A 14,857-nucleotide genomic window follows, 5' to 3' on the forward strand; every position below is an offset into this window, starting at 1 on the left:
CTACCTCAATCTCTTTACTTGACATAGGTCTGTCTATTCAGATTTTCTGTTTTTTTCTCAAGTCAGATTCAGTAGTTCATATCTTTCTGGTAATGTGTCTTTCATCCAGCTTATCCAATTATTAGCATATATTGTTTATATGTATAATCCTTTTTATTCATATTATAATCCTTTTTATGTCTCTAAGAACAATAGTAATGTCCCCTCTCATTTCTAGTTTTAATAATTTGGTCTTCTGTATTTTTGCAGTGCAGTGGCTCACACCTGTCATCCTAGCACTTTGGGAGGCTGCGGTGGGAGGATTGCTTGACCCCAGGAGTTCGAGGCCAGCCAGGGCAACATACTGAGAGCTTATCTCTACAAAAAAAATGTAAAAGTTAGCTGAACGTGGTGGCACATGCCTGTAGTCACAGCTACTCAGGTGGCTAAGGCAGGAGGATCACTTGAGCCCGGGAGATCGGTGCTGCAGTGAGCCATGATTGTTCCACTGCACTCCAGCCTGGGAAACAGAGTGAAAACCTGTCTTGAAAAATGAACAGTAAGAAAACAAAATGTTTGTGGCCAGATGCAGTGGTGCATACCTATAATCCCTGTACTTTGGGAGGCCAAGGAAGGAGGATTGCTTGAGGCCAGGAGTTTGAGACCAGCCTGGGCAACATAGTGAGACCCTATCTCTAAAAATTTTTTTTAGTTAGCCGAGTGTGGTGGTGCGCACCTGTAGTCTCAGCTACATCTTAATTTTATAACGTTGTAGTTCAGATTAATTCCAACTTTGTTTCAATGGTATACAAAAACTTTGCTTCTCTAAAGCTCCACTCTCACCCCCTCCTTTATACTGTTATTGTCACACATTACATCTTTATATACCTTATGTTCATCAACTAGATTTATAATTATTGCATTATGTAAGTATCTTTTTCTTTTTTTTTTTTTTCTTTATTTTGGGACAGAGTCTCACTCTGTTGCCCAGGCTAGAGTGCAGTGGCACAATCTTTACTCGCCGCAACCTCTGCCTCCCAGGTTCAAGCGATTCTAGTGCCTCAGCCTCCTGAGTAGCTGGGACTGCAGGCACGTAACACCACACCCAGCTAATTTTTGTATTTTTAGTAGAGACAGGGTTTCACCATGTTTGCCAGGCTGGTCTCAACCTCTTGACCTCAAGTGATCCTCCAGCCTCAGCCTCCCAAAGTGCTGGGATTACAGGCCTGAGCCACTGCGCCCAGCCAGTGCTTTTTATTTCTTTGTGCAGATTCACGTTAGTACTCCTTATAGGGCAGGTCTTCTAGCAACAAAGTCTCTCAGTTTTTATTTATCTAGAATATCTTAATTTCTCTTCAATTTCAAAGGTAGTTTTGCCAGGTATAGAATTATTGGTTGACAGTTTCTTCAGCACTTTGAATATGCCATTTCATTGCCTTTTGTCCTCCAGTGTTGTGTGTGGTTGCTTTGTTTTTAGACAGGGTCTTGCTCTGTTACCCAGGCTGGAGTGCAGTGGTGCAACCACTCACAACGTTGCAGCCTCCACCTCCCAGGCTTAAGCAATGCTGTCACCTCAGCCTCCTGGGTAGCTGAGACTACAGGCATGCACCACCATGCCCAGTTTTTTTTGTTTTTGTTTTTGTTTTTTTTAATTTTTTTTTATTGATCATTCTTGGGTGTTTCTCGCAGAGGGGGATTTGGCAGGGTCATAGGACAATAGTGGAGGGAAGGTCAGCAGATAAACAAGTGAACAAAGGTCTCTGGTTTTCCTAGGCAGAGGACCCTGCGGCCTTCCACAGTGTTTGTGTCCCTGGGTACTTGAGATTAGGGAGTGGTGATGACTCTTAACGAGCATGCTGCTTTCAAGCATCTGTTTAACAAAGCACATCTTGCACCGCCCTTAATCCATTCAACCCTGAGTGGACACAGCACATGTTTCAGAGAGCACTGGGTTGGGGGTAAGGTCATAGATCAACAGCATCCCAAGGCAGAAGAATTTTTCTTAGTACAGAACAAAATGGAGTCTTCTATGTCTACTTCTTTCTACACAGACACAGCAACAATCTGATTTCTGTATCTTTTCCCCACATTTCCCCCTTTTCTATTCAACAAAACCACCATCGTCATCATGGCCCGTTCTCAATGAGCTGTTGGGTACACCTCCCAGACGGGGTGGCGGCCGGGCAGAGGGGCTCCTCACTTCCCAGAAGGGGCAGCCGGGCAGAGGCGCCCCCCCACCTCCCGGAGGGGGCGGCTGGCCAGGCGGGGGCTGGCCCCCACCTCCCTCCCAGACAGGGCGGCTGCCGGGCAGAGGGGCTCCTCACTTCTCAGACGGGGCGGCTGCTGGGCGGAGGGGCTCCTCACTTCTCAGATGGGGCGGCTGCCAGGCGTAGGGGCTCCTCACTTCTCAGACGGGGCGGCCAGGCAGAGATGCTCCTCACCTCCCAGACAGGGTCGCGGCCGGGCAGAGGCGCTCCTCACATCCCAGACGGGCATGCCCAGTTATTTTCAAATTTTTTGTAGAGACAGGGTTTTACTCTATTGCCAGTGCTGGTATCCAACTCCTGGCTTCAAGCAATTCTTGAGCCTCAAGCCTCCCAAGGTACTGGGAGTACAGGTGTGAGCAACCATGTCCAGCACCTGCATTGTTTTTGAAGAGAAATTAGCTATTAATCTTATTGAGGATCCCTTGTATGTGATGAGTTGCTTTTCTCTTGCTGCTTTCAAGATATTCTGTCTTTGGCTTCTGTCAGTTTGATTACAGTATGTTTAGATGTGGATCCCTCAGTTTTTCCTACTTGTAGTTCCTTGAGCTTCTTGAATATGCAGATTGTTTTTCATCATGTTTGGGAAGTTTGGGGCCATCATTTCTTCAAATATTCTTTCTCCTTTTTTCTGTTTTTCTTCTCCTGGGACGCTCATTATGTGTATGTTAGTAAGCTTGATGATGTGTTCCACAAACAGGTCTCTGAGATTCCATTCACTTTCATTCATTTTTATTTCTGTTCCTCAGAGTCAACAATCTCAATTAACCTTCAAGTTCCCCATTCTGTCTTCAGCCTGCTGTAATGTGCCATTGAGAACCTCTAATAATTTTTCCATTTCAGTTACCATACTTTTCAACTCTAGAATTTCTATTTGACTCCTTTTTATGGTTTCTATCTCTTTATTGATATTCTCTATTTGATGAGACATTGCTTTCATACTTTCCTTTAGTTCTCTAGTCTACAGAACTGAATCGTTTCTCTTATCTCTTTGAACATATTTTAAATAGCTGAATTAAATCCTTCTCTAGGCCAGGCATGGTCGCTCGTGCCTATAATCCCAGCACTTTGGGAGGCTGAGACTGAGGTTGAGGCTGAGGCCAGGAGTTCAAGACCACCCTGGGTAACTTCGCAAGACCCCACCTATAAAAAATAAAAAAATCTTTGTCTAGTAAGTCTAACATCTGGTCCTTCTCAGGGACAATTTCTGCTTATTTCTCCCCCAACCACGTGTTTGGGCCATACTTTGTTTCCTTGCATCTTTCATAAATGTTTGTTAAAAATTGAATATTTTAAATAATATAATGTAGCAATTCTGAAAATCAGATCCATGCTGCCAGGGTTTGGTGTTACTCCTGCTTGTGTTAGTAGTTGCTATTTATTTAGTGACTTTTCTGAACTTCTTCTGTAAAGTCTCGCATTATATGTCATGTGTTCCCACTAAAGTCCCTCCTCGGTTAGCTTACCGATCAGGTAATGATTAAATGAAGATTTACTTAAATTCTTGGAACTGATAAGTCTCCTAGTTTTTGCCAAGGGGCTCTGTGTACATGTTGGGGCATACCTTCAGCACTCAGCTAGACAATTTACAGCCATGCCTTAGCTTTCACTTCTTGCTTGTGCAGAACCTCAAGGTGTCAGCCAGGGGTGAGAGTTTATGAACTTAGTAGGTCTTTCCTGACCATGCTGACAGTCTGCCCTATGCATGCGCGTGACATTCCAAATTGCCAGGAATATGTCTTATGGACTTCTAGTTTCCCAAGCATATATCAGAGTGTTTCAAATTCCTGTGGACATCTTATTCCTCAGCTTTTCCTATTAAGCTTTTTGATTAGGCTTTTTTCCCCCAAACTGTTATTCATTGCCGAATACAGTTGCCATGTTAAAACACTTGTCTGTAATTGTTTTCCAAAAACACCCTCTGTGGAGAGGCTTTAGCACTAGACAGCTTTCATTCTGGTCAAATAAAGACAAACCTTTCAAATGAGGTCTTCCAGGGAACCACCAGACAGATGACATCATGACAGTTAACTGAGAATAAGGCTTTGAAGGAGCTCCAGCTCCATTCTGCTCCCTCTGGTTGGGGATGTGGGCTGTTTTCCAAGGCGACTACTGAGCTAGAGGGTGAGGAATGGTCTAAGGCAAGTTAACACAAATCTCACTGTTCTTACAGAAATTTTTTTTGAATAAATGCTCCTTGGGTTGCTGCAAGACTTTGGTTACATTTCTAGAGTTCTGAAAAAGTTTATTGTGGTCAATTTTTTTTTTTTTTTTTTTTTTTTTTTTTGCTATTTTTTTTGGTATTTGTTGCTTTTATGAAGGGATGAATTTTTGGATGTCTCTTTTTTTTTTTTTTTTTTTTTTTTTGAGACAGAGTCTCACTCTGTTGTCCAGGCTGGAGTGTAGTGGCATAATCTCATCTCACTGCAAGCTCCACCTCCCGGGTTCACACAATTCTCCTGCCTCAGCCTCCCGAGTAGCTGGGACTACAGGCGCCTGCCACCACGCCCAGCTAATTTTTGTATATTTAGTACAGACGGGGTTTCACTTTGTTAGCCAGGATGGTCTCGATCCCCTGACCTCGTGATCCGCCTGCCTCAGCCTCCCAAAGTGCTGGGATTACAGGTGTGAGCCACTGCGCCCAGCCTGCATGTCTTTATTCCACCATTTTCACTGATGTCACTTACGACATGATTTTAAATCTCTGAAGGCTCACTGGGCACATGCCTGTAGTCCCAGATACTCGGGAGGCAAAGGAAGAAGGATCCTTTGAGTCCAGGAATTCTGGGCTGTAGCATGCTATGCTGATTGGGTGTCCGCACTAAGTTCAGCATCAGTATGGTGACCTCCCGGGAAAAGGAGACCACCAGGTTGCCTAAAAAGGGGTGTACCAGCCCAGTTCAGGAATAGAGCAGGTCAAAACTCCCATGCTGATCACTAGTGGGATCATGGCTGTGAATAGCCACTGCTCTCCAGCCTGGGCAACACAGTGAGTGAGAATGTGTCTCTTAAAAAAAAAAAAAAAAGTCTCATTGACCATAGACTAATAAACTATTTAATCATGGGAAATGATTAGGGGAAAGACATAAAAAGAGAAACTGTAATCCACTTTTTTTTGCTCTGTCGCCCAGGCTGGAGTAGAGTGGCTTGATCTTGGCTCACTGCAACCTCCGCCTCCTGGGTTCAAGCAATTCTCCTGCCTCAGCCTCTGAAACAGCTGGAATTACAGGCAAGCACTGCCGTGCCCTGCTAATGAGAAATTGTAATTCTCATAGAGGTCCTCCCAGAGGAGTAGAAGAAGGTTGAAAGGCACTTCTGTATTTAGTCTTCTCACAATTAAGGCTGGGCCCAGTGGCTCACACCAGCACTTTGGGAGGCCAAGGCAGGCGGATCACTTGAGATCAGGAGTTCAAGACCAGCCTGGCAAACATGGTGAAACTCCCATCTCTACTAAAAACACAAAAAATAGCCAGGCGTGGTGGTGCGTGCCTATAGTCCCAGCTATTTGGGAGACTGAGGAAGGAGGATTACCTGAGCTTGGGAAGAGGACGTTGCAGTGAGCCAAGATCACGCCACTGCACTCCAGCCTGGTCAATGGAGCAAGACCCTGTTTGGGTGGGGAGGGGAGGGGAGTGGAGGGGAGAGGAGAAAGGAAAGAAAGGAAAGGAAAGAAAATAGAAAGAAGGAAGGGGGAGGGAAGGAAGGAAGGAAAAAGAGAGAGAAAAAGAATGAAGAACAAAAATGAAAATTTTTTAAAAACCTAAGGTTAAAATAAACCCTTTTTCTTCATACAGATTAAACACGAGTTCAAATTACAGCTTTGCTGCTTAATAGCTTGGTGACCTAGGACAAGTTATCTAACCTCTCTGTGCCTCAGTTTCCTCATTTAAAAATAGGGCAATAATAATATCTACCACATAAGGTATTTGCTGATCACAAATACCTGGCAACCCAGTAGATACTCACTGTAATAATTATTATTTTTATAATTTCTGCCTAAGTACAAAGATGATTCTTGGGTTAACCTAAAGGTAGATTTTCTTTTATTTCTTCCTGTTTCTTTTATTTTTCTTGTTCACCTTAAAGAATTAAAAAGAAAATCGATTCCAGCATTTTGGAATAAAAATTTGCATCAAAATCAATTTATTCATTTTATTGACATATGAACAAAATGTCATTTGTTTATTCAATAAACATTTGTTAAATGCCTAATACATTTCAGACATCATGCCAGGCACGGGGATGACAGGGCATGGTGGCAGGCACCTGTAATCCCAGCTACTTGGGAGGCTAAGGCAGGAGAATTGCTTGAACCTGGGAGGCGGAGATTGCAGTGAGCCAAGATTGCACCACTGCACTCCAGCCTGGGTGACAGAGTGAGACTCCATCTCAGAAAAAAAAAAAAAAAAAAAAAATGTGGTCTCTGCCCTCAAAGCGCTCATAGTCCAGGAGCCTGACAAGTGGACAGGTGATTACATGCAATGTAAGAAAGGCTGTGATGTCATACAAGAAGACAAGTGGGAGTATGGTTTTGACCAGTTCCTCCTCTTAGATTTATTCCTTCTTCTTTGGCTATAAAGCAAAAGAATTGGTCCTATTTTTTTTTAACTGTGCAAATTAAACCATAAATTTTAAAAACTTTATAAAGATAAAAGACAAGCAGCCAGCCGCAGTGGCTCATGCCAGTAATCCTATCAGTTTGGGAGGCTGAGGCAGGTAGATCACCTGAGGTCAAGAGTTCAAAACCAGCCTGACCAACATGGTAAAACCCCGACTCTACTAAAAATACAAAAATTAGCTGGGCGTGGTGGTGGGTGCCTGTAATCCCAGCTACTCGGAAGGCTGAGGCAGAACAGGAGAATCACTTGAACCTGGGAGGCGGAGGTTGCAGTGAGCCAAGATCGAGCCATTGCACTCCAGCCTGGGCAACAAGAGCGAGACTCCATCTCAAAAAAAAAAAAAAAAAAAAAATAGATGAACAACTTGAATTATGATGAGCAACTTGAATTATGGAGGATGCTAGAAATACTGTTTCCTCCACAGTCAGGGCTTCCTACCAACATAGTCACTTTTAGGGTTTTTGACCTGAAAAGTTCTGTGGCATATTTTTTCTTTGCTATCCACTTTTTTTTTCCTTGTAGTTCTTCCCCGCGTTCTATCCTTTATCTTCTAGAGACCTTGGTAGTTCCCATAGGAATAGTGCTTTACGGAGTCTAATGGTGATTTCTTAGGTAAAGACAGGAAACATTTTTTTCTTTTTTACCTACAAGTTCCATATCAAAAAATGAATGTAAACTTTTCATGCAGTTTTACACATTGAAAATGCAGGTTATTTTAATTCCATTCCATTTTTCAGAATTCTCAATCACAATCCTCTGACAACTGTTGAAGATCCGTATCTCTTTAAATTGCCAGCATTAAAATATCTGTAAGTACTATAGTACTCTCATGAGTCAAGAGATGATTTATGCTTTTTAAATTTTTCATCAAAGCTTAAGTATTTTGCATTTAGGCTAAAATGTCATAATTTAAATTTTAACTGGGTTATTGAAAAAAAGTTATTGGCGAAGAAAAAAACTAAGAGGATGTATAATGGTCAAGACAGCCAGCAGGGGAAGAGAACAGCATTGAAGAACCCATATAGATTTGGAACATGTAGACACATGGAGGAATATTATTTAACCAAGAAAGCAAAGGGGAAAAGGTGTTCATTATTCTAAAAATAAAGAAAAGAGTAAATAAGATGGTGAGTGCAATATGAAAATGAGAAGATAATGGTAAAAAAAAAAAGTGTCAGTTCTGCTCTTGAGTATCATTAATTTGATGATGCAAATCAACTTTTAATTTCTTTAATAAGAGCTCCCTGGAATTCTACAGCAAATAAAGTCTTGAGCTGGCTTGTTTAATAGAGAAGCCAAAATTGAATTGTTAAGTACAGAATTTTTTATTGGGGCTCATATCATGAATGTTTCGGCTTTCTTCTTCAGAGACATGGGAACAACGCTAGTCCCACTTACAACACTTAAGAACATTCTCATGATGACTGTTGAACTGGAAAAACTGTAAGTTATTTTTTTCTGAGATTTATTTTTACTTAGTTGGTTCTTTAGGTTTGTTTTATTATTTTCTTAAGTCAGGTTCATTGAGGTATAATTTTCATATAGTAACATTCACGCTTTTTAAGTGTACAGTTTGATGAGTCTGACAAATGTATAGTTACATAACCACCACCACATTCCCAATATAAAGCATTTCTGATGCCTCAAAAAGGCCCCTACTGTCCCTTTGTAGGCAATCCCATCCTCCCACCATCAGCCCCTGTTAGCTACTAATCTGATTTCTGTTCCTATACTTTTGCCTTTTCCAGAATGTCTTATAAATGAAATCATATAGCACATAGCCTCTTGTGTTTGGCTCCTTTCACAAAGCCTAATTTTTTTTTTTGTTTTTGAAATGGAATCTCACTCTGTCGCCCAGGCTGCAGTGCAGCGGCATGACCTAGGCTCACTGCAACCTCCACCTCCCAGGTTCAAGTGGTTCTCCTGCCTCAGCCTTCCGAGTAGCTGGGATTACAGGCGCATGCCACCACACCTGGCTAATTTTTGTATTTTTAGTAGAGACAAGGTTTCGCCATGTTGGCCAGGGTGGTTTCGAACTCCTGACCTCAAGTGATCCGCCTGCCTCAGCCTCCCAAAGTGCTAGGATTACAGATAAGATCCACCTTGCCTGGCCTCACTCAGCAGAATTTTTTTTGAGATTATGCTACCATCCATGTTGTTGCACCTATCACTACAGCTGGCCCTCCATATCTGCAGGTTCCTCATCCATAGATTCAACGAACCATGGATGGGGAATATTTGGAAAAAATAAAATATATAAAACAACAATACAACAATAAAAGCAGTAGAAAATTTAAAATACAGTATAATTATGTACATACCATTTACACTGTATTAGGTACTTAGAGTATACCTGAGGCTGTATACAAACATTATGTCATTTCATAAAAAAGAACTCAGCATCTGTGGACTTTGGTATCTGCAGGGGGTCCTGGAGCCAATCCCCTGCAGACACCGAGGGACAACTGTTCACTCCTTTTTATTGCTGAGTAGTATTCCGGTTGTGTGGAAATGCCATCTCTACTAAAAATGCACAAACTAGGCAGGTGTGGTGGCACATGCCTGTAATCCCAGCTACTCAGGAGGCTGAGGCACGAGAAGTGCTTGAACTTGAGAGGTGGAGGTTGCAATGAGCCGAGATTGCACCACTGCACTCTAACCTGGGCGACAGAGTGGGACTCTGTCTAAAAAAAAAAGTAAGAAATAAAAATGTTTTCTGAAGAGCAGAAGTTTTTAATTTTGACCAGCTTTAAGTTAGCATTTTTTTCTTAAATGGCTTGTGATTTTTTGTTTCTTACCTAAGAAATCTTTAAGAACCTGTTGTCTAATCCAGCGTCTAAAAGATTTTCTCCTATGTCTTCTCCCAGAAATGATACACATTTAGGTCTATGATCCATTTTGAGTTAATTTGCATATGTGATGTATCTTTTTTATTTTTTATTTTTTTGTAGAAATGAGGTCTCAGTATGTTCCCCAGGCTGGTCTCGGACTCCTGGTCTCAAGTGATCCTCCTGCCTCACCTCCCAGAGTGCTGAGATTACAGGCATGAGACACCGTGCCTGGCCTTCTTTGCAGGATATATATATAGATATAGATATATATATAAATCAGCCAGGTGTGGTGGCACACGCCTGTAGTCCCAGCTACTAGGGAACCTGAGTCAGGAGGATCACTTGAACCCAGGAGGTGGAGGTTGCAGTGAGCCAAGATGGCACCACTGCACTCCAGCTTGGGTGACAGAGCAAGACCCTGTCTAAAATATATATATATTTATATATATGTACGTGTATATATGTATATGTATGCCTGCGGGGCCCTATTGTGAGTTTGTTACACAATTTACTGCAACTTCAATTGTGCCACCAGCCCCCACAATATGGCAAGCTAAATAGAGACTCAGTTATGCTAGGGCTGGTTGAGGGCATTTTGCAAGATTAGCATGGAAAGGGCCCTTCATTTAGCACTCTGCTCCGTTCATTTTTGTCAGGTCACTTTCTTATCTTGACCAGGTTGTCAGATCTCTTTTACTGCTCTAGCCTCACTTTCCTCAGCCTCCTGCAGCATCTTCCCCATCAGCTGGATCCCTTCCTCTCTGGATGAAGTCCCCTTCATCGACCAGCTTTCTCACTTAGTTCTCTAAGATAGTGAGGATCTGTCTGCTTTTTTCTTGACCATTATTGGATAGGAAAAATGCTCTCATCCTCTGTAATGATTTGTCACCAAGGCCATAAAGACATTGAACTAAATGTCTTATGGGAGTTCATTATTGGAAGTCTTCAGGAGTTTACACATTTATGTACAAAGTAAGTAGGCCAGCTCATTTGAGTCTTGGCTCATGTGTAATGATCTTTCATGTGTATTGAAAAATTATTCTCAAGTATACCTCAGGTCATTTACAGTCTCAAAGATTTGTCAGTATACTTTAAAACAATCCTGGGAACAGTTCTAGATTGAAGGAGACTAAAGAATCATGTACTAAGTGTAATGTCTGATGTTTGATTGGATTGTGAATTTTTTAAGCCATGTTATGATTGGGACAATTGTGAAAATGTGTATACGGACCGCATAGTAGACAATGATAATATGAAGTTCCATTGAGTGATGATAGTCCTCTGGTTATGTCAGAGAATGCCTTGGTTCTTAGGGGCTGCACACTGAAGTCTTCAATGGTGAAGGGTCATTATGTCTGCAACTGACTCTCAAATGGTTTTGTCCAGAAAATGTATAGACATACACACACGGAAAGCTAATGTGGCAAAGTATTAGCAACTACTGATTCCAGATGAAAGTTATACAGGTGTTCATTATACCATTTGAAAATGTTTCCCAGCCATCCTAAGGCTTAAAGGAAAAAAAGAAAATGTTTAAAATAAAAACTTGGGGGCAGAAAAAGAATACCAAAAATTTTGGGCTCATGCCTGTAATCCCAGCACTTTGGGAGGCCAAAGAGAGAGGGTTGCTTGTGCCCAGGAGTTCGAGACCAGCCTGGACAACATGGTGAAACCCCATTTCTACAAAATATACAAAAATTAGCCAGGTGTGGTGGCACACACCTGTAGTTCTAGGTACTCAGGAGGCTGAGGTGGGAGGATCACTTGAGCACAGGAGACAGAGGCTGCAGTGAGCCAAGATTGCACCACTGCACTCAGCCTGTGTAACAGAGCGAGACCCGGCCTCAAAATAAACAAAAGAAACACCTTTGTGGCAGAGGTAAGGTTGCTATACAACAAAATGCTGGGTTACGGTTCCGGGTCCATTCCATATGAAGATCAGAGGCTTCCACTGGACCCAAAGGAATACTACTAGTCACTTGTGATTGTTCCTTTATAGGTTTGAAAGATGTCTCAGGCCAACTTATTGGATGCAGTTTTAATCTAAAACTCTATACATTGTACCCCCAACTCACAGACTTCTTGTATCCATGAAACCCTCTTCTGTTTTCATAGTCTTAATATGGCCCCAATAAAGCCATCCTTTTGGAGGACTCAGAAAAGGCCCCCCACAACCTCTGCAACACAATAATTATAGTTAACTCTTATTGAGCACTCACTGTGCACCAGGCATTTTTCAGGTATTGATTCATTTGATCCTCAAAATTCATTAGAGGTAGGTACTATTATAATGACAAGGCCAAGGAACAGAGATTAAACAATTTGCCCAAATTCACATTATTAGCAGAGCTGAGATTGAAGCATAGTCTGGCTATGGAATCTGTATTCTTAATGACCATGCTATACTGCCTAAGATTAACCTTTTACTTCAGTTACAGGGATTGTTTTTATCTCTCTGAAAGTGCCCCCAATAAGCCACAACAATAAATTAATCAATTGTCTCGGTCACCTCTTTTGCCCAAATTTACGTATTGGAAAAAATTCAAACAAGCCAGAAAGATGAAAGAATAGTACAGAATCCAATCAAAGATCAGGCACTGCATGTCATGTCTTCATTTCCTTTAATCTAAAACATGCCTCTACTTTCTTTGATCTTTCATGACACTGGCATTTTTTAAGAGTCAAAGATAGTTGTCTTGTAAATTGTCCCACAATCCAGATTTGTCTGTTTCCTCATGATGAAATTCAAGTTAAGCATTTTTGGGAAAAATACTGCATAGGTGATGTATCCTTCCTGCCTCGTAACCGCAGATGGCCTGTAATACTAAGTTTGATCACTTGACTAAGGTGATCTTCCAGGTCTCTCCATTGTAATTATTTTGCTGGCTACAGTGGCTCCCACTTGTAATCCCAGCACTTTGGAAGGCCGAGGTGGGAGGATTGCTTGAGCCCAGGAGTTCTACACCAGCCTGAGCAACATGGGGAAACTCTGTCACTACTGAAAATACAAAAGTACAAAAAAAAAAAAAAAATTAGCTGGGCATGGTGGTGCAAGCCTATACTCCCAGCTACTCAGGAGGCTGAATTTGGAGGATCCCTTGAGCCCAGGGGGGTTGAGGCTGCATTGAGGTATAATTTTGCCACTGTATTTCAGCCTGGGTGACAAAATAAAAATAAAAATAAAAAATAATAATTTTCCCCTTGGTAATTAATAAATAATCTGTGGGTTGTTACTTTGAGTTCAGTGAAGATCCTGTTCTCAAATGTTTTTTCACCCAAATGTGCATCAATGATAATCCTTGTCTGAATGAATTTGTATTACACTGACGGTTGCAAAGTGACACTTTTAAAAATTCTGTCATTCCTTCTACATTTACTAGCTGGCATTATTTCATTGAAGAAGAACTCCTCCTCTTTCTTTTTCAATATCACTCTTCGTGGATTCTTCTTTATATTAAATATGTGGTAACTTATTGTTGTTATTCTTTTGAATGCTCAAATTGTCCAGATTTGACCAATGCAGTCTTTGTTATTTTTTAACTCCGCAATCCAGGTTAAACTAAGCTATTTTTAATGCCCAGAGTAATTTATAATATTTCCCACTCCCAACAGGAATTGAGAAAGGGACTCCAGAAGTTGGGGGCTTATTCAGACTTCTTAAAAGTCTACCTTCTTCCTCTGTACTTTCAGCCCAAAGTGAGACTTTTGAATTGGGAAGAGATACTTCTGAAACTACTAATCACTGTCACCCAATTCTAATCCCAACCATCTTTATTCTAGGCATACCATACTCACTGCCATGCTTACCCTTCAGTTGGGCACTTTTGTCCTCCTTCCTATTGGCCTTCTGGTTCCTACCCAACTGTCCAGTCCATAGGCTTCAATGACACCTTTTTCCCACACCTGTGGTAGCGTTGGCTGCCTCCTTTACCTACTCAAGTAACCGCTTTACCGCTAATTTATTGCTCTCTGTTTTCATCTATAGGATCTTACCTAGCCATATGGCCTGCTGCCTCTGCCAATTTAAAAACAGCATTGAGGCTGTCTGCAAGACAGTCAAGCTGCATTGCAACAGTGCATGTCTGACAAACACCACACATTGTCGTGAGTCCAAATTGCGCGGTGATAAATTGTTACATTAAGTATTTGTTTTTAAACTTTTTATTTTTAATGATGATAAAATTTTAAGCTAATGACATAATTGCTTTATTTTTATTTACTCATTCAGAGTTAAACTCCCTCAATTTCCGAACTACTCCCTTGCTGAAAGTCAGGTTCTCAGTTACTATTACAAAATTTAATAATAGAACTGTTCCATATGCAGAAAGGACCAAGACAAAGGAATGGGAAGGCTAGGGAATAACATTAACATCCACACACTGTATACTGTGCTCTCTGCTTGATGCTTTGCCCACAGTGATAATTTCTTCATATAGTGCAATGTAGTTTGTAAGCTGGTTTTAAATCCATGAGATCTCAAGTACTCTCTGCCTTATAGGACAGATGTAGATACGGTTTTGGTCTTTCTGTTTTTACAGTTTTATAAGAGTACAAGTGATGCTGTTTTATTTGAAGCCTGAGAGCTTCTGGTTCCATAACCAGAAATTGCTACCTGGCTCTTCTAATGGAATGGAGGGCTTTTCCATTCTTAGACCATCCAACTCTGAACTTGCTCCGAATCTCAAACCTTTCTGTTCACAGAACAAACGCTCAAGGGCTTTCAAGAGTGTTTCTGTAGATTAGGCTTATTAGCATCAACTTCATGACTTCTAAAATGTGACTGCTTTCATGTCCAGATAGCTTGAATACAGGTATCTACCAGTGATATGGGGTGGAGAATTAATAATGCTTGGTTACATAAAGTCAGTGTTGCTTATTTTTCAAAACTTTTTTTTTTTTTTTTTTTTTTTACCAATTATGTTATTCCCTTCTCCCCAAGAAGTGGGCAGAAAAGCTTTGTTAACCTCCTTTTACAGATGAGGAAAAACAAGATCAGAGGTGCTAAGTGCTGTAGCCTAGTGCCAGGTCTTCTGGCCCCAATTCTGGGTTCTCCCCAAGCCCATGTTTCTTCCCCTTTCTCACAATCTTTACTTCTTCCTCTGACCCTCACCACCACCCAAAGTACTTTTAATTCCAGAAAAGAAACCCAGCTGCACACTGGCAC

General features: G+C 41.4%; 2 protein-coding genes and 1 pseudogene across 29 annotated transcripts in view; 2 read left to right on the plus strand and 1 right to left on the minus strand.

Moving 5' to 3' along the window:
* The window catches only part of LRRC37A2 (leucine rich repeat containing 37 member A2), a 676,337-nt gene that overhangs the window by 159,785 nt on the left and 501,695 nt on the right, over positions 1-14,857 (plus strand). For 13 of the 17 annotated variants that reach the window (XM_047436145.1, XM_047436146.1, XM_047436143.1 and 10 more), the window contains 3 exons: positions 7,600-7,671; positions 8,231-8,305; positions 13,679-13,797. The exons of 1 other annotated variant lie outside the window; for it this stretch is intronic. In XM_047436145.1, coding sequence (XP_047292101.1) covers positions 7,600-7,671; positions 8,231-8,305; positions 13,679-13,797 — 266 coding nt within the window. The remainder of the gene's footprint in view (positions 1-7,599; positions 7,672-8,230; positions 8,306-13,678; positions 13,798-14,857) is intronic. 3 more of the 17 variants (XM_011524843.4, XM_011524848.4, XM_011524849.3) reach the window with 2 other exon arrangements.
* ARL17A (ARF like GTPase 17A) overlaps positions 1-14,857 on the minus strand; it is a 79,433-nt gene that overhangs the window by 32,287 nt on the left and 32,289 nt on the right. For 2 of the 12 annotated variants that reach the window (NM_001288811.1, XM_047436213.1), the window contains one exon: positions 5,775-5,850. The exons of the other annotated variants lie outside the window; for them this stretch is intronic. In NM_001288811.1, coding sequence (NP_001275740.1) covers positions 5,775-5,850 — 76 coding nt within the window. The remainder of the gene's footprint in view (positions 1-5,774; positions 5,851-14,857) is intronic. 12 annotated transcript variants of the gene reach the window in all.
* Positions 4,958-5,238, plus strand: RN7SL199P (RNA, 7SL, cytoplasmic 199, pseudogene; annotated as a pseudogene).

Source organism: Homo sapiens, chromosome 17 (genome assembly GCF_000001405.40).
Source record: "Homo sapiens chromosome 17, GRCh38.p14 Primary Assembly".
Lineage (NCBI taxonomy): Eukaryota > Metazoa > Chordata > Mammalia > Primates > Hominidae > Homo > Homo sapiens.